At 44.6% G+C, this 26,292-nt stretch overlaps 1 annotated feature.

Annotated features, from left to right (window-relative positions):
- Positions 16,092-16,593: an enhancer, noted in NCBI's record as "NANOG hESC enhancer chr12:115079511-115080012 (GRCh37/hg19 assembly coordinates)". NCBI's record gives its function as "activates a minimal SCP1, AML or CMV promoter by ChIP-STARR-seq in naive H9 embryonic stem cells {active_cell/tissue: H9 hESC(naive)}" and the evidence as "EXISTENCE:reporter gene assay evidence [ECO:0000049][PMID:30033119]".

Below are 26,292 nucleotides of genomic sequence, written 5' to 3' on the forward strand. Positions count from 1 at the left end.
AAGCCTTTGTCTCCTCATCTTTAAAATATGTATAATGTCAGTAACCACACCGTGGTGACGTTATAAAAATTAAATGAGAACATGTAAAGTAAAGCACTGTGGGCAAACAGTAAGGATCAAAACACAATAAATAGTCATTTAAAATGAAGGCCAGGCACATTGGCTCAGGCCTGTAATCCCAGCACTGTGGTAGGCCAAGGCGGGAGGATCACTTGAGGTCAGGAGTTGGAGACCAGCCTGGCTAACATGATGAAACTTCATCTCAACTGAAAATACAAATATTAGCTGGGCATGGTGATGCATGCCTGTAATCCCAGCTACTCGGGAGGCTGAGGCAGGAGAATCACTTGAACCTGGGAGGTAGAGGTTGCAGGGAGCTGAGATCATGCCACTGCACTCCAGCCTGGGTGACAGAACAAGACTCTGTCCAAAAAAAAAACAAAAAAAAAAACCGATTAAGCACACAATGAAGTTTTTCACTAAAAATTTTTAAACTTTTTTTAAAAAGTACTTGATTATACCAAAAAACTTATTGGGACATGCAAGCAGAGATCTGTGTGGAAGGATGTTCACTGCAGTGTTGTTTATAATAGCAGAAAAATTGGAAAAATAGAAAGTTCAACAATAGGGCAAAACCAACCAAACAGAACTGGTTAAATAAGTTTAAGGGTTCTTGTATTAACAAATGCTGAGCAACCTTGACCTAATGTGAATAAACTTTGACATGAAGAGACAACAACAATATATTCTTGAATAAAAACCAAGTGTGCAAGCCAGCAAGTGTAGTACAACCCCATGTATGCAAAATTGCCTCATTCTACCATAAAGACACATGCATGTGCATGTTCACTGCAGCACTGTTCACAATAGCAAAGACACGGAATCAACCTAAATGCCCATCAATGACAGGCTGGATAAAAAAATATATGGTACCTATGCACCGTGGAATATTATGCAGTCATAAAAAAACGAGATCATGTCTTTTGTGGGAACATGGATAGAGCTGGAGGCCATCATCCTTAGCAAACTAGCACAGGAATATAAAACCAAATACTGCATGTTCTTATGCATAAGTGGAAGCTAAATGATAACATATGAACACAGAGAGGAACAGCAGACACTGGTGCCTACTTGAGGGGGGAGGGTCAGAGGAGGGAGAGGAGCAGAAAAGACAACTATTGGGTACTGAGCTTAATACCTGGGTGATGTAATAATATGTACAACAAACCCCTGTGACATGTGTTTATCTATGTAACAAACCTTTACATATAACCCCAGACCTAAAATAAAAATTAAAAGAAAAAAAACAAAATTGCGTCTGTGTGTATGTCTGTGTGTGTGCACCACATGTGCGTGTACATTCTCAGAGTTATGTGGGAGATCCATCCGATATAAACAGTGGTTACCTTTGGGCAGTGGGATTTGGAGGTAACTTTTAGCTTTATATTTTAAAAGAAAAATAAAAAGAGAGAAGTTGCAAGTATAGTACAATGAAGTCCTATACTCCCTTCAGTCAGATTCAGCATTGCCAACATTGTGCCACATTCGCTTTATCTATACCTACACCTATACCTATATCTCTCTATATACCTACACCTATACCTATCTCTCTATATACCTACACCTATACCTATCTCTCTATATACCTACAGCTATGCCCATGTCTACCTATCTGTATCTACCAATATGCCTATGCCAATACATATATCTACCTATATACCTATGCCTGTACCTATATCTACCTACATACCTACTCTTGTACCTATATTTACCTACATACATGTGCCAGTCCCTATATCTACCTACATACCTATGCCTGTACCTATATCTAACTACATACCTAGATCTATATCTATCTATATATGTATGCCTATAGCTCTATCTACCTACATACCTATGCCTATACCTATATCTACCTGTATACCTACACCTATACTTATATCTACCTATATACCTATAGCTATATCTATCTATATACCTACAACTATATCTATATCTATCTATATACCTACAACTATATCTATATCTACCTGTATACCTATGCCTATACCTATATCTACCTACATACCTATGCCTATATTTACCTGTATACCTACACCTATACTTATATATACCTATATACCTATAGCTATATCTATCTATATACCTACAACTGTATCTATATCTATGTGTATACCTATACCTATACGTATAACTACCTATGTACCTACACCTATACCTATATCTATCTATATACCTGTACCTATGTCTATATACCTATGCCCATACCCATATCTATTTATATACCTACGCATATACTTGTATCTACCTATCTACCTACACCTATATCTACATACATGTTATGATTGTTATTTTTGTGGAACCATTTTGAAAGCAAGTTGAAAACATCAAGAAGTTCTATCCCTTAGTTCTTCAGCGTGCATCTTCTAAGAGCAAGAACATTCTCCTCTTACATAATCACAGCACAGTTATTTTATTTCTATTATCTAACATGCATACAAATTTCACCAGTTATATATAAATGTGTGTGTGTGTGTGTACACATACAGCATCATCTTCACAACTTGAAAGCACCATACAAGTATTCCATTTGAGGAAAAGAACAAAATACAATTCAGATACTCGATGAGGTCTTTATTGTTGAAACAAATGTGAGCCAAAAGGCCACCATCAGGCTCTGCCCTGAACACTGCCCAGAAGAGCGGCTTCTCTCCCCTTCTTATGCTACCTGGGGTGGGGCAAATGGATCTCAGCTGGGAAGATTCTTCCTGGTTGACTCACTAGAGAAGCCCAAATGTCACTCCCACCCCCTCCAAACTCAGATAGGCATCAAAGAGAGGACCGCCTCATTCCTGCTTCCATCTCTGCAACCACTTGCCTCTGCAGGTCAAAGAAAAAGCCCTCGGGCAACTCGAGATTATGGACTAGAAATATTTCTCTTCCTCCTTTTTAAATTTATAATGTACCTTTGTGGGGAGATTGAGATAGGCTGTAGAAGAAAACTCCCAGTGTCTCCAATTCTTACCCAGGAGACCAAGAGTAAAGGTACTGTGACCACTATGGAGGTTGGTGTCTCATTATGTAGTAAAGTTCAATATATGCAGATTCTAGGACCCAGCACCTCCACTCCCAGATTTATTCCCTAGAGAAACTCAGGTGCATGTGTTCCAAAAGACGGAGATGGAGCCAAGACCGTTGCTCACACGTTATTTGCATGGTAGCTCCAAACTAGAAACAGCCCCAGCATCCATCAGCAGTAGAATGGAGAAAACAGTGGCATCTCCATACAATGAAATATACTCAGCAATGAAAATGGATGGCACAGCTACCCCGAACAACATGGAGAAATCTCACAGGTGGAATGTTGAGGGGAAGAAGCCAGACCCCCAAAACACATCAAGCACTGTTGCATTTATATAAAGTTCAAAAGCAAAAGAGGCCAAATTAAATTCTATTGCTTAAGGATCCTTATGTAGGGGGTAAAATTATAAAGAAAAGCAAGGAAATGATTGTCCCCAAATTCAGGGTAGTGGCTACTTGTGGGGAAGAGGAAGGCATACCTGGGGAGTTTGGGGGGCTGCTGTTTCGCATGCTGTGAATACTGATGTTCACTTTGTAAGTATTGGCTAAACCACATATATCCTATGCAGTTCTACATCACAGAGACAAAAAATATGTTATAAAATAAAAGGGCTAAAGTTCCCAAGAGTGATGGCTCTTGCAGCACCACGAGAAGGGTATTCAATGTAGGGGCTTTCACTCCAAGTGCCCAGCTATAAGAGACAGAACTTCCGGGTCTTTCAAGTTCATTCATGACAATATTCTTGAACTCCTGGGGAAAAAAAAGCACTGCAGAGAATCCCTAAATTTTCAAAAAGTTCAAATGAATTTCTCGTTTCTTGTCTTTGGGGTTGATTTGATGATGTTTAGTTTTCCTAATTATTCGGCTTGGGCTGACAAGGAATCTGTTGTTTTCATTAGTGTACCCAGAAGCTGCCAGAGGGTGAACACTGAGGGCCATTACTGAGAATGCACCAGGCCGGGCATGTTGGCTCACACCTGTAATCCTAACACTTTGGGAGGCTGAGGCAGGTGGATCACTTGAGGTCAGGGGTTCTAGACCAGCCTGGCCAACATGGTGAAACCTCGTCTCTACTAAAAATACAAAAACTTAGCCAGGCATGGCGGTGGGCGCCTTTAATCCCAGCTACTCGGGAAGTTGAAGCAGGAGAATCGCTTGAACCCAGGAAGCGGAGGTTGTAGTGAGCCAGGATTGTGCCATTGCACTCCAGACTGGGCAACAGAGCAAAAATTCTGTCTCAAAAAATGATAATAAAATAAATGCAGGGGGAATGCACCATGTGCAAGATCTCATGCTAAGTGTCGAGGCTGCATTGATGAGTAAGACAACTTTTGTCGGCCAGGCGCGATGGCTCACACCTGTAATCCCAGCACTTTGGGAGGCTGAGGTGGGCAGATCATGAGGTCAGGAGATTGAGAACATCCTGGCTAACACGATGAAACCCCGTCTCTACTAAAAATACAAAAAAAATTAGCCAGGCATGATGGCTGGCGCCTGTAGTCCCAGCTACACGGGAGGCTGAGGCAGGAGAATGGCTTGAACCTGGGACGTGGAGTTTGCAGTGAGCCGAGATCGTGCCACTGCACTCCAGCCTGGGCGACAGAGACTCTGTCTCAAAAAAAATAAAAAATAAAAAATAAAAGACAACTTTTGTCCTTGAAGTGCTTAAAATCTGAAAGGGAGACAAATCAGCAAGCAGGCATGATAACTCCTATGGGATGGAACAAGCTCAAGGGGCTGGAATATACTTCTTCAAAGAAGTGTTCCAGTGAGAACAGGGGGACAAGTAAGATCAATCCAGGGATAGAGAAAAAGTGAACCATCTTCCAGGTGATGAGGACGGACAAAGTTCCAGAGGTGGGGTTGCATGCCAGGAAGGGCATTGGATGAGGCTGGACCATGCAGCATGGGCTGTAATGAAAGAGTGAGATGTGAGATGAAGGCTGAGAAGGCAGGATCCAGAATGGGAAGTGCCCTAAAAGCTATGTTAGGAAGTTAATGCAAAGTCAATAGGGAGCCCTTGAAAGATATAGAGGAAGGGAATGCCAGATTGGTTGAGAAGGAGCAAGAGGGAGCAGTTAAAGGCTGTCGAGGGTGATTCAGATGAGAGCTGATAGTGGCCTGGTCTAAGGCCATGGGAGTAGACAGAGGACACAGAAAACAGCAAACAAAGCCAGCCTTGAACATAATTCTGATTTAGTAGCTAGAACAGATTGAGATGCTACATATTTATGGACTCTGGGGCTCTGCTGCTGGTCCACAGACCATACTTTGAGTAGGAGCAAGTTTCTAAATGACACCAGGCCAGGCTAGATCTAATTATCCTGAAGGTGTCCTGAATATAGGTAAATTAAGATCACATTCAGCCTCAATTTTCTCACCTGTAAAATGGGAGAACTAGCACAAATGTCTGTGGGGTTGCTGTGATGGTTAAACAAGGCCATTAGCACTTGAACAGTAGGTGCTCTGATATTTGTCTCCACAGCCGTCAGTGTCCAGCCCCTGGCTGCTTCTGGGGACACCAAGGGGAACAACAGATTCCTCATCTACCTTGGCTGAATAATTAGGAAAACAAAATGTCATTAAATCAACCTCAAAGACAAAGAATGGACAATTCGTTTGAGATTTTTGACAATTTGGGGCTTCTCTGCAGTGTTGTTTTCTTCTGGGAGTGCAGGTATGCTATCAGGGAGGCTCCACGTTGATCTGAGTCAGCTCCGAGCTCAGAGCCGCACAGGCTCCTCTAAATTGGCCACTGGGCTTCTCAAGGTCCTCCCCCGGGCACTCTGTGACCCAGTTGTCCTTGCTGTGCAGGACTTGTGCATGGGGCTAAGGGGGAAGGGGCGTCCTGATAACCCTCTCACCCAGAGTTTTTTAAAAATCACATTTATTAGCTTTGATCTTATTTTTGTGTTAGAAAGAAAAAGAACGCCTTTTTGATAAAATCAGTATGTGAATTACTGGCATTAATCAAACCCCTATTAAGCACTCTGTTTTGCATTTCTTATCTCTTTTAATCATTCCAAATCCTTCAGAGGAAGTCCCTGCTTTTCTCATCTCATTTTACAGATGAACAAATCGAAGCTTAGAAGATGACCTTGCGAGGCCGGGCGTGGTGGCTCACTCTTTTACTCCTAGCAATTTGGGAGGCCTAGGCAGGTAAATCACTTGGGCTCAGGAGTTCGCGACCAGCCAGGGAAACATGGCAAGATCCCATCTCTACAAAACATACAAAAATTAGTCGGGCATGGTGGCATGTGCCTGTGGTTCCAGCTACTTGGGGGTCTGAGGCAGGACTTTGCTGTATGTCTTTGTGTAGATTTTTTTTTAAAATTCATTTGGAGGCCAGGCGCGGTGGCTCACGCCTGTAATCCCAGCACTTTGGGAGGCTGAGGCGGGTGGATCATGAGATCAGGAGTTCAAGACCAGCCTGGCCAAGATGGTGAAACCCTGTCTCTACTAAAAATATGAAAATTAGCCAGGCGTGGTAGCAGGTGCCTGTAATCCCAGCTACTTGGGAGACTGAGGCAGAGAATTGCTTGAACCTGGGAGGCGGAGGTTGCAGTGAGCTGAGATCACACCACTGCACTCCAGCCTGGGCGACAGAGCAAGACTCTATCTCAAAAAAAAATTCATTTGGAAGCATACCGTGAATTCAGCTTACTGACTATTAAGTGCTTAGTATGACATAAAAGTAGCTCATTCTTACTGTTTTTTTTTTTTTTAACTTTCCAATTCAAAGAACACACAAATACATGAAATACATGCAGGTGAAAGAGAAAACTCACTTTTTTTGTTGTTGTTGTTGGAGTCATGGTCCTTTGCCCAGGCTGGAGTGTAGTGGCGGGATCTAGGCTCACTGCAGCCTCTGCCTCCCAGGTTCCAGTGATTCTCCTGCCTCAGCCTCCTGGGTAGCTGGGATTACAGGCACCCACCACCACACCTAGCTAATTTTTTTTTTTTTTTTGTATTTGTAGTAGAGACAGGGTTTCGCCATGTTGGCCAGGCTGGTCTCGAACTCCTGACCTCAGGTGATCCACCCTCCTTGGCCTCCCAAAGTGCTGAGATTACAGGCGTGAGCCACCGCTCTTGGTCAAGAAAACTCACTTCTAATCCCTTTGCCTAAATGTCTTCTCTGGCTACCCACCTATACCTTGCTCACTATTTGCCAAACAGGTATTTACACCTCTTCTGTGCCAGGCCCTGGGGTTTGCTTTGGGATCAAAGATGGATAAAAAAGATTACAAAGACAAAGTTTTTTTTTTTTTTTTGAGATGGAGTCTCGCTCCGTCACCCAGGCTGGTGTGCAGTGGCACGATGTCGGCTCACTGCAACCTCTGCCTCCCAGGTTCAAGTGATTCTTGTGCCTCAGCCTTTCTAGTACCTGGAATTACAGGTGCGCACCACCATACCTGGTTAATTTTTGTATATTTAGTAGAGATGGGTTTTCGCCATGTTGGCCAGGCTGGTCTCGAACTCCTGACCTCAAGTGATCTGCCCACCTCAGCCTCCCAGAGTGCTGGGATTACTGACATAAGCCACCAAGTGCTCATCTCTCAGAAACAAAGGCTTTACCTTCAGGGCCTTCTCCCAGTCTAGCCAAAGCAGGGAGGGTTTAGCCAGGGCCACAAAATGACCTGAAACCCAGAGAGATAGAAAGGATACAGTAAAACTAACGTTCTTTGCCATGTTATAGAGAGGAGGGAACCCACTAGTGGATCCAGGTTTCTGGAGAAGGTGAAAGGTGAATACAGTTTTTGCAGGAATGAAGGAGAAACACATAAACCAACTCCAGAATCAATAAATTGGCCAGGTGCAGTGGCTGCACCTGTAATCCCAGCACTTTGGGAGGCCGAGGTGGGAGGATCACCTGAGGTCAGGAGTTCAAGACTAGCCTGGCCAACGTGGTGAAACCCCGTCTCTATTAAAAATATAAAACTTGGCTGGGAGTGGTGGCTCGCCTGTAGTCCCAGCTACTCGGGATTCTGAGGCATGAGAATCTCTTGAACCTGGGAGGCAGAGTTTGCAATGAGCTGAGATCATGCCTCTGCACTGTAGCCTGGGTGACAGATTAGAGTCCATCCCAAAAAAAAAAAAAAAAAAAGAATCAATCAATTATTCCTACATTCTGGCAAAGTATATTTGGGTCCTACCCTGCATCTTAGGAATGAGAAATTAGCAAAGAACAGTGGTTCTCATGTTTTTAGGAGGAGGATTTTGCCCCCAGCAGACACCTGGCATTGTCTGGAGATATTTTTTGTTGTCACACATGAGGGTGATGCTACTGCTGGCATCTACCTACTGGTAGAGACCAAGGATGCTGCTAAACATTCTACACAGGACAGCCCCCTACCATGCAGGATTATCTGGTACAAAATGCCAGTAGTGGCCACACTGAGAAACCTTGGCCTAGATGGGTAAGTTAGGAGGTGAAGAGGCACTCCGGAAGTCACATTCCTGGGATGAGATTCAGATCAACTAAAGCATCTTGGAAAAATCTCTCCACCTCTCTAAGTCTCAGTTTTCTTCCCTGTATAATGGGGAGATATAATTATATTACCTACCTCATCAGTTTGTGAGAAGGATAAATTAAATGAAGAAGCACTTACACAGTACCTGGCACATAGTAGGCTCTGGATCAATGTAAGGGAGTGAAAAAAGAAAAAAAAAAGCCAGGCACAGTGGCTCACGCCTGTAATCCCAGCACTTTGGGAGGCTGAGGTGGGCGGATCACAAGGTCAGATGGAGACCATCCTGGCTAACACGGTGAAACCCTGTCTCTACTAAAAATACAAAAAATTAGCTGGGCGTGGTGGCGGGTGCCTGTAGTCCCAGCTACTCGGGAGGCTGAGGCAGGAGAATGGCGTGAACCTGGGAGGCAGAGGTTGCAGTGAGCCGAGATCTTGCCACGGCACTCCAGCCTGGGCAACAGAGCAAGACTCCATCTGAAAAAAAAAAAAAAAGTGGAAGTAAGGCTGGGTGCAGTGGCTGATGCCTGTAGTCCCAGCATTTTGAGAGGCCAAGGCAGGTGGATGGCTTGAGTCCAGGAGTTCAAGAGGAGCCTGGGCAACATGGCAAAACTCCATCCCTAAAAATATACAAAAATTAGCCAAATACATGAAAAATAATATATAAAACAAGCTAGGGACGGTGGCTCACTTCTGTAATCCCAATGCTTTGGGAGGTCATGGCGGGCAGATCACTTGAGGTCAGGAGTTCAAGACCAGCCTGGCCAACATGGTGAAACCCCGTCTCTACTAAAAATACAAAAATTATCCGGGCCTGGTGGTGCACACCTGTAATCCCAGCTACACGGGAGGCTGAAGCAGGAGAATGGCTTGAACCCAGGAGGCGGAGGTTACAGTGAGCCTAGATTGTGCCACCGCACTCCAGCCTGGGCAACGGAGTGAGACTCCATCTCAAAAAATATATATCTCAAAAAAAATGTGTGTATATATATATATAATATATATATATTATATATATATAATATATATATTATATAAATATAATATATATATTATATATATATAATATATATATTATTTTATATATATATAATATATTATATAATATATATATATATAATATATATATAATATATATATATTATATAATATATATATAAATATAATATATAATATATAATATATATATGTCAAACATAAAGTAATCTCTAAAGAGTCTTACTTAACAAAAACTCTTTTAGCCACAGCTGAAGAAATCAGTCCTGGAATAATTCAGTCTCTCTCTGATGCTTGCTTTTCTTTCTTTCTTTCTTTCTTTCTTTCTCTTTCTTTCTCTTTCTTTCTTTCTTTCTTTCTTTCTTTCTTTCTTTCTTTCTTTCTTTTTTCCTTCCTTCTTTCTTTTTTTCTTTCTTTCCTTCCTTCCTTCCTTCCCTCCTTCCTTCCTTCCTTTCTTCTTTCTTTCTTTCTTTCTTTCTTTTCTTTCTCTCTCTTTCTCTCTCTCTCTTTCTTTCTTTTTTTCCTCTCTCTCTCTCACACACACACACTCTCACACACACTCACACACACACAGAGAAATTTGTATGGCTGCTCCAAATTTATTTCCAAGAAAAATACGGAGTTATACCTCTGTGGATTTTCTTTCCTGGGCACTGAATTCATGGCGTATCTACTCAAGTTTTGGTCACGGTGAAATTAACTGCATTGCCCTTTAAGAAAAAAATCTAGGCGTTCCTGGTGGGTGCGCACATGGCAGTGTACAGGGACACAGAAGTGGGCATCCACATTTCCAAAATAAACTACTTCTAGGTGGTTCTGAACTTGTATCCATCTGATGCAAGCCAACAATCAGTGCACATGAATTACCAGGGACCTCATCCTTCCAGCCTCCCCAGTCTCTCCGGAATCTCTGGGGACGTGCCAATGCCCGTGAGGCCTAGTGAAAACACTGCAGTCCTTGAATTCACCGTCATCCAAGAACAGCTTGAGACCTGTTTACTTCAGAACCAGCAAAAGGTGAACAGGTCTTTCCTGAAAGTCCTGGTTTCTAGCAGAAGATTTTAAATATAGGACAGTTGAAGGGGAGGGGTCACACAGAGGACTGGGGACCAGGAGTTGGAACTCATCAGCTTGTAAAAAGTTCTAGGGTTTGTGACCTTGGTGCCCTTAGGCATATTCCTTAACCTTTCTGAACATCAGCATCTTCCTCTATTCAAAAGGGCCCATTGCCAGGCTCATGCCTGTAATCCCAGCACTTTGGGAGGCCAAGGTGGGAGGATTGCTTGAGCCCAGTAGTTCAAGACCAGCTTGGGCAACATAGTGAGACTCTGTCTCTCCAAAAAAAAAAAAAAAAAATTTAAAGGGCCCATTGCCAGGCACGGTGGCTCACACCTGTAATCCCAGCATTTAGGGAGGCAGATGCAGGAGGATAGCTTTAGCCCAGGAGTTAAAGTCCTGCTTCAGCAACATAGTAAGACCTCATTCTCCATAAAAAGAAACAAACAAAAAGACAAAAGGGCCCATTGCCTGTCAGCCCTGGCAGGCTGCTGTGAAAGTCAAGAGAGACAGAGGAAGCAAGACAGTTCTGGAAAATGCTCAGCGCTGTGTAAGAGGTGTTCACTGTTGCACCCTGAGTGTGCCCAGACTGTCTTGAAACTTTCACCCACTCTGCCTTCTGGGCAGGCAGTTCAGGCTCCTCAGAGGTGTCTCCTTATCCGCTGGAATGCAGGAAACACCCAAAATAGAGAGCTGAGGCGTGTCTTCACTAGCTCAGCTCAACCGGCTTTTGAGGTTTGCAAAGCAAGATGAGTGCTGGGTTCTATCTTGATTGTGCCTTTGAGAGGGTTGGTCAGAGGTAAGATTAGCTATCTGGTGTCCTCTGTTCGTATGCACACACTGAAAACCCAGAGGGCAACCAAGCCAGATAGCGAGTGGCAGCACCCACAAAAATGTGTGTCCAGAAAGAAATCAAGAGGGACCAGAAGAAAAGGCAGACTCAGGTCATTTTCCAAGGGGCTCACAGTCCTGAGGGCTGGAGCCATGAGAGTCCAAGGGGGTCTGGCATCCCAAACAGGATGCTGTTTCTCAGGGAAGGAATGGTGTTAAGGAATCAACGCTGGGGGTTAATCCAAGCCGGGCCTCCCGGGAGAGCCATCTTGTGGCCACTCGAGTATGTGACTGTTCGATTATCTTCCCTTTTTTCTTATTCGAAGAGAAAGCTTTTCCCAATCCTAAATGAAACTGGATGTAATCATTGTTGAGTGGGTCAGAAGTGTTTTAGAAATTGACAAAGGGAGACCAGGTGCGGTGGCTGACGCCGGTAATCCCAGCACTGTGGGAGGCTGAGGTGGGTGGATTACCTGAGGTCAGGAGTTCGAGACCAGCCTGACCAACACGGTGAAACCCCGTCTCTACTAAAAATACAAAAAAGTTAGTCGGATGTGGTGGTGGGCACCTGTAATCCCAGCTAATCGGGAGGCTGAGGCAGGAGAATCGCTTGAACCTGGGAGGTGGAGGTTGCAGTGAGCCGAGATCATGCCATTGCACTCCAGCCTGGGCGACAGAGCAAGAGTCTGTCTCAGAAAAAGCAAGCAAGCAAGAGAAAGAGAGGAAGGAAGGAAGGAGGGAAGGAAGGAAAGAAGGAAGGAAGGAAGGAAGGAAGGAAGGAAGGAAGGAAGGGAAGAAATTGGCAAAGGGGAGAGAGAGCTGCAGGCCTGCAAATCTTACCAGGCTGATCGAGGTAATGCTAGCTCTCTAACTAGTTGGACATGTCACTTATTCTCTAACAACAACAACAAATGAAGAGTCATAATACCTTCATTTTGTGCAGAAACTGTGTGCAACTTGGCCGGGTGCAGTGACTTATGCCTGTAATCCCAGCACTTTGGGAGGCCAAGGCAGGTAGATCAACTGAGGTCAGGAGTTCGAGACAAGCCTGGCCAACATGGTGAAACCCCATCTCTACCAAAAATACAAAAATGAGCCGGGCGTGTTGGCGTGCGCCTGTAGTCCCAGCTACTCTGGAGGCTGAGGCAGGAGAATCACTTGAACCTGAGTGGCAGAGGTCTCAGTGAGCCGAGACCATGCCACTGCACTCCTGCCTGGGCTACAGAGACTTCATCTCAAAAAACACACAAACAAACAACAACAAAAAACCTATGTGCAACACACTGAGCTTTAAATATATTTTATCACTTCATCCTCATCGAAACTTCTGACTATAATCTCATTTTAGAGGTGAGGAAAGTGGACTCCCAGCTGGAGATTGTGGGTGGCCATTATAGGTTACTAAGTAGAAGAGGGGGAGAAAAAGAAAAGGAAATTGGAATGGCGTTTTGAGTTTTGGTGTATTTTTTGTGTTTTGTTTGTTTGTTCTTTGTTTTGTGTGTGTGTGTGTTTTTTTTTTAGGCGGGATCTCACTCTGTCACCAGGCTGGAGTGCAGTGGCGCGATCTCAGATTACTGCAACCTCCAGCTCCCAGATTCAAGCAATTCCCCTGCCTCAGCCTCCTGAGTAGCTGGGACTATAGGTGCACGTCACCATGCCTGGCAAATTTTTTTTTTCTTTTGCATTTTAGTAGAGATGGGATTTCACCATGTTGGCCAAGATGGTCTTGATCTCCTGACCTCGTGATCTGCCCGCCTCGGCCTCCCAATGCTGGGATTACAGGCGTGAGCCACTGTGTACTGCCAGAATGGAGTTTCTAGGAGATGAATTTGGACTTGAAAGGAAGAGAAGACATCCAGGGTTGGCTACGTTTTATCTGGTAAATGTCCCTGCAACTCCTCTGGGAATAGAGTACCCATCTTAGAGATAAAGAAACTGAGATTCAAGCTGAAAGGTTAAGTGTATTGCCTGTGGTTATAAAATCAGGGTTAGCAAGAAAGTCTTGACTTTGGGGAGCAGGAATCAAACAATACAATTTAAATAGCTAATCTATCTAATCTCAGGAGGCCTGATAGGGGCTTTTGGAGTCAGGAACTGCATAAATAAATCCAGGTGTCCTCCTCTGATCTCCATACAAACAAATGGGATTAGCACATCAAAGGTTTGGTTCTTTGTACTGTAAGTAGCGCTACCCTGAGGTGGGCTGTGGGCCAGCTGGAAGATGCAGGAATTCAGAAACTGTTAATTCACCAATTTCTTGGGCTTCCTTCCTTAACTAGCTGTGTGACCTAGGACAAGCTAACTAACCTTGCTGTACCTTCGTTCTCTCATCTATAAAATGGGTGTCATTATAATGGCAACCTCATAAACTGGTTTGAGGATAAAATTGAAATAACATCAATATTTATGATGACACTTACTATGTGCCAAACAGCATTCCAACTTCATTTGTTACATTAACTGAAATCTCACAACCAGCATGTATTAAATGGGTTCTTATATAAGGGAGTGAACTATTATTTAATGATTAAAATGATAAATGTAAAATCTATCAAGCAACATGGGGAATGTATTATACTGAGTAATAATAATAATAAAATAATAAGTGAAGGTGGGTGCAGTGGCTCACGCCTCTATTCCCAGCCCTTTGGGAGGCCGAGGCAGGTGGATCACTTGAGGTTGGGAGTTCGAGACCAGCCTGGCCAACAGGGCAAAACCCCATCTCTACAAAAAATAGCTGCTGTGGTGGCACTCATCTGTAATCCCAGCTACTTGGGAGGCTGAGGCAGGAGAATCACTTGAACCCAGGAGGTGGAGGCTGCAGTGAGCCAAGATTGTGCCACTGCACTCCAGCCTGGGTGACAGAGCGAGACTCTGTCTCAATAATAATAATAATAAGTGAATTTCAAAATGCTATCTTCTTTAGGACAATGGCTCTTTTTAAATTCCTGAATACAAGGACAGGAAGAGAAAGTGGAAAAGGGAACCCCAAATTATTGGTGGAATTGTGCCTGGTCTACATGTTGTTAGTTTCTGTTATGAAATTGTCTTTGCAAGAAATGAAATATATTTATACATAAATGTATAAGAGCAGTTTATTGGGTCTGATTGATAGGAAGACCTGTTATTCTCCTCCCAGGAAAATGCACACACCCAATAGGTAGGTGGCCTCCCATTATTCAGAATTCCTAGACCTACTCCCCTCCTAAATCCCATCCATTGATCCCTGGGGCCCACAGGATAGGAGCTTTCATTTAAGAATGTATCTCTCTCTCTCTCTTTCTTTCCTTCTCTCTTTCTTTCTTTCCTTCTCTCTTTCTTTCTTTCTTTTCTTTCCTTTCCTTCCTTCTCTTTCTTTCTTTCTTTCTTTCTTTCTTTCTTTCTTTCTTTCTTTCTCTTTCTTTCTCTTTCTTTCTTTCTTTCTTTCTTTCTTTCTTTCTTTCTTTCTTTCTTTCTTTCTTTCTTTCCTTCCTTCCTTCCTTCCTTCCTTCCTTCCTTTTCTTCCCTTCCTTTCTTTCTTTCTTTCTTTCTATCTTTCTTTCTTTCTTTCTTTCTTTCCTTCCTTCCTTCCTTCCTTCCTTCCTTCCTTCCTTTTCTTCCCTTTCTTTCTCTCTTTTTTCTTTTTCTCTCTCCCTTCCTTCCTTCCTTCCTTCCTCTCTTTCTTTCTTTTTTTTTTTTGACAAAATCTCACTCTGTTGCCCAGGTTGCAGTGCAGTAGTGCGATCTCAACTCACTGCAACCTCCACCTCCCAGGTTCAAGAGATTCTCCTGCCTCAGCCTCCTGAGTAGCTGGGACTACGGACGCGTGCCACCACACCCGGCTAATTTTTGCATTTTTATTTGAGACGGGGTTTTGCCATGTTGGCCAGGCTAGTCTCAAACTTCTGAGCTCAGGTGATCTGCCTGCCTGGGCCTCCCAAAGTCCTGGGGTTACAGGCATGAGCCACTGTGCCTGGCCTTCTTTCTTTTTGTTTCTATTTTCTTTTCTCTCTTTTTTTCCCTTCCCTCCATCCCTCCCTTCCTCCTTTCTCTCTCTCTCTCTTTCCTCTCTCTCTCTTTCCTCTCTCTCTCTTTCGCATCTACTGTGTGTGAGACACACAGTGGGCCAAGTAGTGAGGACACAATTGTGAGATGTTATAATGTCACCTGCTGGCTCTCCCACGTTATCTACTCCTTGGTATACTCCCCCTTTTAATCTATTTATGGCCTTACTTTGTGAAAATAGTAATAGACAGAAAAATAACTAACATCCAGGGGAGATGTTGCTGATTACAAGGGATTTTCTCACACATAACCTGATGGTAAGCCTTTGGCCACTGTGTAAGTAGATATTACTGTTATCTTGGTTTAACAAAAGAGAACACGAACACTCAAAGAAGATGGAATAAATGACGGGTTTATCTGTAAGCGATGGAGACAAAATTCTGAACACAGGGGTTTTTGACTGCAGAGATCACAGGAGAACTTATCATCTGGTGGATAAGGCAAGAGTTTGAACTCAGATTCTGGCAGGTGCTGTGTGATCTTAAGGGAGCTACTTTAACTCTCTGAGCCTGTATTTTCCTCTAAAAATGAGTAGTAGGAATAACATCAGTTTGATAATAAAAACAGCAGAAACAACAGGAAGAAGAATATTAACTGCGAGCATGGCTGAGTGTGTTTTTGGCGCCAGCACTGTGCAATCTAGACGGGTTTCCTTTCATCTTCACAACAGCACTATGAGGTGGCACAATTGTCATTCCTCTGTATCAAATGTGGATGGCAAGGACTTTGGCACAATCTGAGGAACAGAGGAAGTGCTCAAGATGGGACAGCAAAATTAAAGGAGAAAAAAACTCACTTCTTTGATTTTTTTTTTTCATCAGTAGGGAAAGTTCGTGTTGAATCTTTGACAATTCCTCCTCCAGGCTCCTGGACCTAAAGCCCCATTGTCTTAAAAGGTTTTCAACTAGTGAATCATCCTTTGTCTTGAGCTAGGTGTCATTTTGCATATCTACAACAAGGGCCAGTCTAACTGCTGGGTGCAAGAGACACCTTTTTTCAGATGACCCAAGGAAGGGAGGATTGCCACATTAAAAGTAATGCTTACATATGGACAAAATGTAACTTGATGTCAGCTCAGTGGAATGGCTCATGCTTTTAATCCCAGCACTTTGGGAGGCTGAGGCAGGAGGATTACTTGAGCTCAGGAGTTCAAGACCAGCCTGAGCAATGTAGCAAGACCCCTGTCACTATAAAAAGTAAAAATAAAAAATAAAAGAATTAACTGAGCATGGTGGTTCATGCCTGTAGTCCCAGCTACTCAGGAGGCCGAAAGGGGAGGATCACTTGAGCCTTGGTAGCACCACTGCACTCTAGCCTCAGTGACAGAACAAGACCCTGTCTCAAAGAACAACAACAACAAAACATTATGTCGACAATTGAGCTATTTTAAATATATAAAATTGTATTTATTATGTAATGTGGGTGCATTTTAAGATGTAGGTAAGGGGTCTCCCCAAAATAAGAATGTTTGGGACCTATAAGATCCTTACAAAAAATGTCTTTGTCCAAAATTATAATAATTGTTGGCCGGGCGCAGTGGCTCATGCCTGCAATCCCAGCACTTTGGAAAGCCAAGGCAGCCAGATCACTTGAGGCCAGGAGTTCGAGACCAGCCTAGCCAACATGGCGAAACCCCATCTCTACTAAAAAAGCCAGGCGTGGTGGCACATGCCTGTGATTCCAGCTACTCAGGAGGCTGAGGCAGGAGAATCGCTTGAAACCTGGGAGGTGGAGGTTGTAGTGAGCCGAGATCATGCCACTGCACTCCAGCCTGGGTGACAGAGCAAGACTCTGCCAAAAAAAAAAAAAAGGAAAAAGAATAAAAAGAAAAAAGGCCTGGCGTGGCTCATGCCTGTAATCCCGGCACTTTGGGAGGCCGAGGTAGGCGGATCACGAGGTCAGGAGATCCACACCATCCTGGCCAACATGGTGAAACCCCGTCTCTACTAAAATACAAAAAATTAGCCGGCTGTCGTGGCACATGCCTGTAATCCCAGCTACTCAGGAGGCTGAGGCAGGGGAATTGCTTGAACCTGGGAGGCGGAGGTTGCAGTGAGCTGAGATCGCACCACTGCACTCCAGCCTGGCAACAGAGCAAGACACCATCTCAAAATAATAATAATCATCATAATAATTGTTGAAACTGCATAATAGGAAGGGAGGGGTTCATTACGTTTGGATGCATTTCAAATTTTTCAGAACATATATTTTCAAAGACCATTATCCCCCCAAATTCCATTTCTTCACCTTTTTCATCCTTCTAAAGCACCTTTTGCTTAGGTGGAGTTTGCAGAATTCCAACAAGTTCATTCCTCAGATCACTAGATCTTGAGGTAGTTTGAGATCTCTGAGACAACAAGAAGAATGAATAAACAAATGTTTGTTTTCTCCTCTTAAAATTCCCGAAGGCAAGAGGCAGTAAATGAATAAATTAGGACATCTTTGGTGGACCTGACCCCAGAAGCAGCTGCTGGCCCCAGCAGCCTCCTGCCCCCAGCAGCCTCCTGCCTTTGTTTTTCTAAGGCTCTGGGGCTATTGTCCCCAGTCAGTGGAAAAAACATCACACCCATTTTCAAAAAGAGATGGTTGAGCCGGGCGAGGTGGCTCACGCCTGTTATCCCAGCACCTTGGGAGGCCGAGGAGGGAGGATCACCTGAGGTCAGGAGTTTGAGACCAGCCTCAACATGGAGAAACTCCTTCTCTACTAAAAATACAAAATTAGCCGGGCATGGTGGTGCATGCCTGTAATTCCAGCTACTCGGGAGGCTGAGGCAGGAGAATTGCTTCAACCTGGGAGGCAGAGGTTGCGGTGAGCCAAGATTGCGCCATTGCACTCCAGCCTGGGCACCAAGAGCGAAACTCCGTCTCAAAAAAAAGAGAGAGAGAGACATTTCAATGTCTATGGAGAGTCTCCCTTCTCAGGCTGAGGTTCCCCGACCCAGTGGCATCTAGCTGTCCTCACGAAGACAAGAAATCATTAGCCCTAATTAAGTCCTCCCTAGCAGGCTGCCTGGGATCCAGTAGGCAAGTCTTCATTCCTTCCCTCTTTACTAGGAAAAAGGGAGGAAAGGAGACAGGTCTCTTCAGATATCATCCTTCAGGGTGGGTGCTAGTATGAATCTGTGAAGATCAGTTTGGTGAAATGTATCGTAAACCTCAAACGTGCCTCCTACTCTTTTCTCTCTTGGAATGTATCCTGGGGGAATCCATAACATGGGAGGAGACTAAGGTGAATGAACAATGGTTTAAAGAGCAAAAACATTGCCTATTAAATAGCAAATGAAATGTCTATTTGTATGGACAATAGAAATACCTATTTGTAGAACGGCGATAGAACCATAACGTGCCATATTTTGCCAAATTTTGCAAGTATTAAAATGGGGAAGGGGTAGGGCAGGTGGCCCATGCCTGTAATCCCAGCACTTTGGGAGACCAAGGCAGGAGGATCACTTGAGCCCAGAAGTTCAAGATAAACCTGGGCAACACAGAGAGACCCCATCTCTACAAAAAAAATTAAAAAATTAGTTGGGCTTCGTAGCACACACCTGTAGTCCCAGCTACTCGGGAGGCTGAGAGGGAAGATCACTTAAGCCAGGGAGGAGGAGGCTGCAGTGAGTTGTGATCACACCACTGCACTCTAGCGTGGGTGACAGAGTGGGACCCTGTCTCAAAAATAAAATGGCGAAGATATGGACAAGAAACAAAATGTTCTTAATATTGTAAAGAAACAATTCAATTACAAAACAATGTATTTATTTATTTATTTATTTTTATTTATTTTATTTATTTTTTGAGGCAGAGTCTCATTCTGTCACCCAGGCTGGAGTGCAGTGGCATGATCTTGGCTCACTGCAACCTTCACCACCTGGGTTCAATAAGTTCTCCTGCCTCAGCCTCCCAAGTATCTGGGATTATAGGCATGCACCGCCACACCCAGCTAATTTCTTTGTCTTTTTAGTAGAGACAGGATTTCACCATGTTGGCCAAGCTGGTCTCAAACTCCTGACCTCAAATGAGCCACCCACCTCAGCCTCACAAAGTGCTGGGATTACAGGTGAGAGCCACGTGCCCTGTCAAGACAATTATTTTTATTAAAAATAAAATATGCAGACATGTGCGGCTGCTCACGCCTGTAATCCCAGCACTCTGGGAGGCCATGGCGGGTGGATCACAAGGCCAGGAGTTCAGTACCAGCCTGGCCAATATAGTGAAACCCATTCTCTACTAAAAATACAAAAAAATTAGCCAGGCGTGGTGGCGGGTGCCTGTAGTCCCAGCTACTCAGGAGGCTGAGGCAGGAGAATAGCTTGAACCCAGGAGGCGGAGGTTGCAGTGAGCCGAGATCATGCCACGGCACTCCAGCCTGGGTGACAGAGGGAGACTCTGTCTCAAAAAAAAAAAAAAAAATTGCTATGTCCATACTAAGCGCCCTCTTGCATATTATTTTATTAATTAAAAATTCCTTTATGTCTGGGCCCGGTGGCTCATGCCTGTAATCCCAGCACTATGGGAGGCTGAGGCGGGAGGATCATGAGGTCAGGAGATCGAGACCATCCTGGCTAACACAGTGAAACCCCGTCTCTACTAAAAATACAAAAAAATTAGCCGGGCATGGTGGCGGGCGCCTGTAGTCCCAGCTACTGGGGAGGCTGAGGCAGGAGAATGGCATGAACCTGGGAGGTGGAACTTGCAGTGAGCCTAGATTGCGCCACTGAACCTCCAGCCTGGGCGACAGAACAAGACTCCGTCTCAAAAAAAAAAAAAAATTCCTTTATTTTTAAATTTTTAAAAAATAAATGAGTTCTAATGGCATTTTAAAGATAATAGCAGCAAAGCTATTGGGAAGGGGATCAGAGATCTCCAACTTGGGCTTTCCTACTGGTTGTCTATTTCTTTTTTTTTTTTTTTTTTGAGACGGAGTCTCGCTCTGTCGCCCAGGCTGGAGTGCAGTGGCGCGATCTCGGCTCACTGCAAGCTCTGCCTCCCGGGTTCACACCATTCTCCTGCCTCAGCCTCCCGAGTTAGCTGGGACTACAGGTGCCCCCCACCGCACCTGGCTAATTTTTTGTATTTTTAGTAGAGACGGGGTTTCACTGTGTTAGCCAGGATGGTCTTGATCTCCTGACCTCATGATCCACCCGCCTCGGCCTCCCAAAGTCCTGAGATTACAGGCGTGAGCCACCGCGCCCGGCCCTGGTTGTCTATTTCTTTTAGATGTCCCCTCCAGTGTCATCTCTTAGGTTCCCTTCTTAAGCCCTTCTGTCTAAACTGGGCCCTCCCTGGCACTGTCTCTCAGCCTGTTTATTTTATTTTCTGCATAGCACTTACCATAATCTGTATTTATCACGTGCATTTTTTAGTTGAATTTTTCTCTTCCTATCCCCGTGTCCTAGAATTCGAGTAGTGACCTTCACTGTCTTTGTTCGTGGCTGCAAGTACCAGGCAACTTTGTGAAATGTTTCGTATAATGAACAGTAGTTTATTAAATATTATAGAAGAAATAAATATGTGAATGACCAAGTTAGTGAATGAGTAAATGACTGAATGACTGAGTTCATGAATGAACGGATGAGTGAGTGAAATCTGGCTTTAGAGAGCGAGACTTTTCTTTGCCCATGGCTCAGGATACACAGTGACAGCTGGCACACGACAGACAAACGGGTCTCCTAAGAGTCTGGAAGCCAGGCCCAGTCCCTCTACTCTTACATCTGACCCTGCTCAAGGTTCCAGCCATGTGGACGGAAGTGGATCTCCGTTCCCAGGGAAGGGACCTTTCATATGTGAATATTCTCATGAGTGTTTGGCCCACATGATTTTCTTTTGCTTGCACAACACTTTGGGATTGGTATTATCATCCCTGTTTTAATTGATGAGGAAACTGAGACCCAGAAGGGTGAAATGTTTCGGCCCAGTTCACAGAATTAGCAAATGCACCCCAGACCTGGCCCGCCAGAGGGAGGGAGAAGCAGCACGTTCCCAACCTTTACCCCATCAGATTCTCACAATAGGACTTTCACTCTCCAGCCATATTTTAAAGTTTTGGGGAAGGGAAGAGAGGCAATGAGAAACCAAGAGAGAAAACCCTCAGAGGAGCAGCCACCAGGAGAGATCTCTGCAATCACAGTCTAGTAAATTCTCAGTACAGATTTGCTTGAATAAGAAAATGAATGGGCTGGGTGCGGTGGCTCACGCCTGCAATCCCAGCACTTTGGAAGGCCGAGGCAGGCTGATCGCTTGACGCCAGGAGTTCAGGACCGGCCTGGGTGACATGGCACAACTCCATTTCTATAAAAAATACAGAAATTAGCCAGGTGATGGGGTGTGTGCCTGTAGTCCCAGCTACTCAGAGGCTGAGAGGTAGGAGAATTGCCTGAGCCTAGAAGGGTGAGGCTGCAGTGAGCTGTGATTGCACCACTGCACTTCAACCTGGATGACAGAGCAAGATCTTGTCGCAGAAAAGTGAATGAATGGATGGGACATAGTGAAGTGATTAGAAGCACACACTCATGTGTGGGGCCTGGATTCAAACTCCGTCTTTCCCACTTCTCTGTTGTGTGAGAATAGGCAAATGACTTTAATTTGTCGAGTCTCGGTTTCTTCATCTGAAGAATGAGAATAAAAGGGTTGCTGTAATAATTAATTGCTATAATGTCCATTAGCACTTAGTATGATATCTGGCATAAGGCAATATCTATAATACAGTAGTTCCCAGTCAATGAAAGTCAATTATTTTAATTATTTTATTTAAATTGGAGGCTGGGCCAGGTGTGGTAGCTCACGCCTGTAATCCCAGCAATTTGAGAGGCCAAGATGGGAGATAGCTTGAGGCCAGGAGTTCGAGACCAGTCTAGGCAACATAGTGAGATCCCCATCTCTGCAAAACAACAACAAAAAAAAAATTAGAAAAAATTACCTGGGCGTGATGATGTGCACCTGTAGTCCCAGCTACTTGGGAGGCTGAGGCAGGAAGATTACTTGTGCCCAGGTTCAAGTGAGGCTTCAGTGAGCTACGATTGTGCCACTGCACTCCAGCCTGGGAAACAGAGCAAGACCCTGTCTCTGAAATAAATAAATAAATAAATAAATAAACAAATAAATAAATAAATTGGAGGCCATTTGTTGAAGATTAAATTATGTAGAGAACTTCGGAATCAGGGGAATCTAGGTTCCAATCTCATTTGTCGTGACTAGCTGTGTGGACATAGAGATGTCACATAACTTCTCCAAACCCACATTGTCATCTGCAAAATAGGGATTAAGCCCAACAAAAGGGGTGATATTGACAGGATGACATGGCCAAAGGACTCAGAACATAGTTGGCCCAAGGTAAAATGGAAGTTTCTGGTAGATCCTCACTATGGCTAAAGCATGGGAACATGGTATGATTTCTGAGGATATGATGATGATAGCAGTAAATTGATTGAAAACAGACAGAGCTGTGTGTTCTCAGGTGGCTCTCCTGCACCTCATTTTTGATAGGCACAAAGGAAATGTAATGGGTCAGAATGGGAGCCTGTGGCCCTCAAAGGCAGACTCTGTACTCCCCATCTCTGAGTCTCTGTTACTCAGCACACCTAATCATAAAACCTGAATTAACCAATTGTCGAACAATTGTGTTAAGATTGGAGAATTGCAGTTCCTGAGCAACAACATAGGATTCCAGTTTAGTGAATCTGGCGTGCAAATCCTGGAAGACATACAGTGAGAAAACTGAGTCTATGTATTCCTGATAATAAAAATAGCTAAGTGATGGAATGCTTGCTAGATACATGTCACGTATGAAAACAAGGAGTTCAGAGAGGTTAAGTAACTAACTCAAGGACACACAGCTAGAAAGCTGCAAAGCTGGGTTTTGAATGCACCAGAATTTATACACTCTCAGTCAGTGTTCTCAATCTTTTCATTACTGCACTTCCTGAGGATTCTTTCTACATGCTCCTAATGTCCCAATCCCATGAAATTGTAATATGACAGACACACTGCGTATGTCTCTGTGCTTGATATATATTTGTGCTTTACACATAAACAGTTAGATTTTTGGCTGGGTGCGGTGACTCGTGCCTGTAATCCCAGCACTTTGGGAGGCCCAGGCAGGCAGATCACATGAGGTCAGGAGTTCAAGACCAGCCTGGCCAACACGGCAAAACCCCGTCTCTACTAAAATTACAAAAATTAGCCAGGTGTGGTGGTGGGCGCCTGTAATCCCAGCTACTTGGGAGGCTGAGGCAGGAGAATCGCTTGAACCTTGGAGATGGAGGTTGCAGTGAGCTATGATCTTGCCACTGCACTGCAGCCTGGGTGACAGAGACTCTGTCTCAGAAAAAAGAAAAAGAAAGACAGAAAATTGAATTTGTCCTTAATACCAGCCTTCTATGAGTTCTGAGCCTGTCCCTTAGCTGCAATAGCTTGTGTCTTGGGATTATCAAGGCAGAGTGGAGGAGCACCTTAGAAAACAGAGATGATGTTTTTGATCCCTTTTTAAAAAGTAAACAGTGTGGATTCTTCTCGATTTTCTGTCAAAGCCTTCAGCCCTCACCCCTCAGGAGCCCGGAGCTGGAGTGTGCTAGCCCTCTCTTCCCACTTGCCCTTAATTAATCCCTGAAGACTCAGGGGTCCGTCTCAAGTGGTCTTCAAGAGCCTACTCTGGGGCCTGACAGGGGGCCCACTTGAGTCTCCCCGTCAGGGACAATGGCACTGCATTCTTACCCCGTTTCCGCCCGCCAGGGCTCCCTTCTGACCCTCGGAAAAGGGAAGGACAACAAGGCCCTTATTGGAGGGCCCTGACATTGCAATGCCTGCTTTTGTCGTCTCCCTGGAGTCAGCAGGATCTGCCCCCCAGCCCCCATTCTCGGGCACTTCCTTCCCACTCCCATGGACTGATGTCAGTTCCAGAAAGAGTGGATTGTTCTCCCCAGCCACCCGGCCGTGGAGCGCAGGGTCCAAGCCTGGGAGAAAGAGGGTGCGGAATCATCCAGCACCCTGGAGACAGAAAACTCATTAAACCTCCTGCCAAGGACGCCCCCCATCTGTGGGCGCCGATCCTGCCATTCAACAAGAAAGTGGGTCCTGGCATTTCTGACGGGGTGGGGGACATGGGTTGTCCCTTCTGAGCTCGTAAAATGAATCCTGCCACAGAAAGGAAATGGAGCTTGGGCGTGTTTTGAAGTCCAGAGGAAAGGCAGATGATGGTTATGGGGTCCCTGACTATAAATGTGTGCCTTCTACTTTTTTTTCTCAACGGTCTCATGGCTTTCAGCCAACTAAACACTAATTCAAGGATTTGGTGCCAAGCATGAGGACTCTTCTAGAAAAAGAGGCTAACTGAAGGGGGCATGATATGGTCTTGAATTTTATGGTGACATAGATGCCAAGAGCCTCGGGAGTTTCACTAGTCCAATGTGCCCATTTCACAGGGGTAAAAACAGAGGACCCAAGGAAAGAAAAGAACCCACCTGAAGCTCCTACAGCCCAACATGTAGAAGGTTCTGGGTGTGCATATATATATATATATGTTTTTAGGCAGAGTCTCACTCTGTTGCCCAGGCCGCAGTGTGGTGGCACGATCTCTGCTCACTGCAACCTCGACCTCCAGGCTCAAGAAATTCTACCACTTCAGCCTCCTGAGTAGCTGGGACTACAGGTGCCCACCACCATGCCCGGCTAATTTTTGTAGTTTTTAGTGGAGATGGGGTTTTGCCATGTTGGCCATGCTGGTCTCAAACTCCAGACTTCAAGTGCTCCACCCACCTTGGCCTCCCAAAGTGCTGGGATTACAGGCGTGAGCCACCGCGACCGACCAGATTCTGGCTTTTAAGGGACAATGTTTTCTTCCACAACAACTCTTTCCTGGCCAAAACTTCTCATTACATTTCACATTTTCTATGAAGAACAAATAGAGCATTCTGTTCTATGGTGATATACAGGGATGCAGAATAATGGTTCTATGATGTTTCTTTTCTTTTCTTTTCTTTTTTTTTTTGAGACAGGGTCTCACTCTGTCACTTAGGCTGGAGTGCAGTGGTGTGGTCACAGGTCACTGAAATCTCTGCCTTCTGGGCTCAAGCAATCCTCCCACCTCAGCCTCCCCAATAGTTGAGACTACAGGCGCACATCACTGTGCACAGCTAATTTTTTAAGAATTTTTTGTAGAGACAGGGTCTTGCTATGTTACCCAGGGTAGTCTCAACCTCCTGGACTCAAGTGATCCACCCACCTCTGCCTCCCGAAGTGCTTGGATTACAGGCATAAGCTACCACGTCTGGCCTGGTTCTGGAACTTTAATCCACCTATTAACCATGTGAGTTTGGACCATCAATCTAGCTCTTCAAATTTTCTCTCTTCCCACTGAGGAAAGAGGATCACCTACTTCATAGGGTCATTGGGAAGATTAAGAATGATATTGCAGCTGGGGGTGGTGGCTTATGCTTGTAATCTCAGTGCTTTGGGAGGCTGAGGCAGGAGGACTGCTTGAAGCCACGAGAGCAAGACCAGCCTGGGCAACATAGTGAGACCCCTATCTCTATAAAAAAAAATTAAAAATTAGCCAGGTGCAGTGGTGTGGTCTGTAGTCCCAGCTACTTGAGAAGCTGAGGCTGGAGGATCTCTTCAGCCCAGGAGTTTGGGGCTGCAGTGAGCTATGATTGCACCACTGCACTCCAGCCTGGGTAACAGAACAAGATCTTGTCTCTAAAACAAAAACAGGGAAAGAAAGAAATCTACTTTATCAATCTACAAGGAACCCTACAACTGCCAAGGCAGTTTCTTGAGTCTCCTGACCAAGGCGTCGTCTTTAGAAAACCCTAATGGGGGCCGGGC

Source organism: Homo sapiens, chromosome 12 (assembly GCF_000001405.40).
Source record: "Homo sapiens chromosome 12, GRCh38.p14 Primary Assembly".
Classification (NCBI taxonomy): Eukaryota; Metazoa; Chordata; class Mammalia; order Primates; family Hominidae; genus Homo; species Homo sapiens.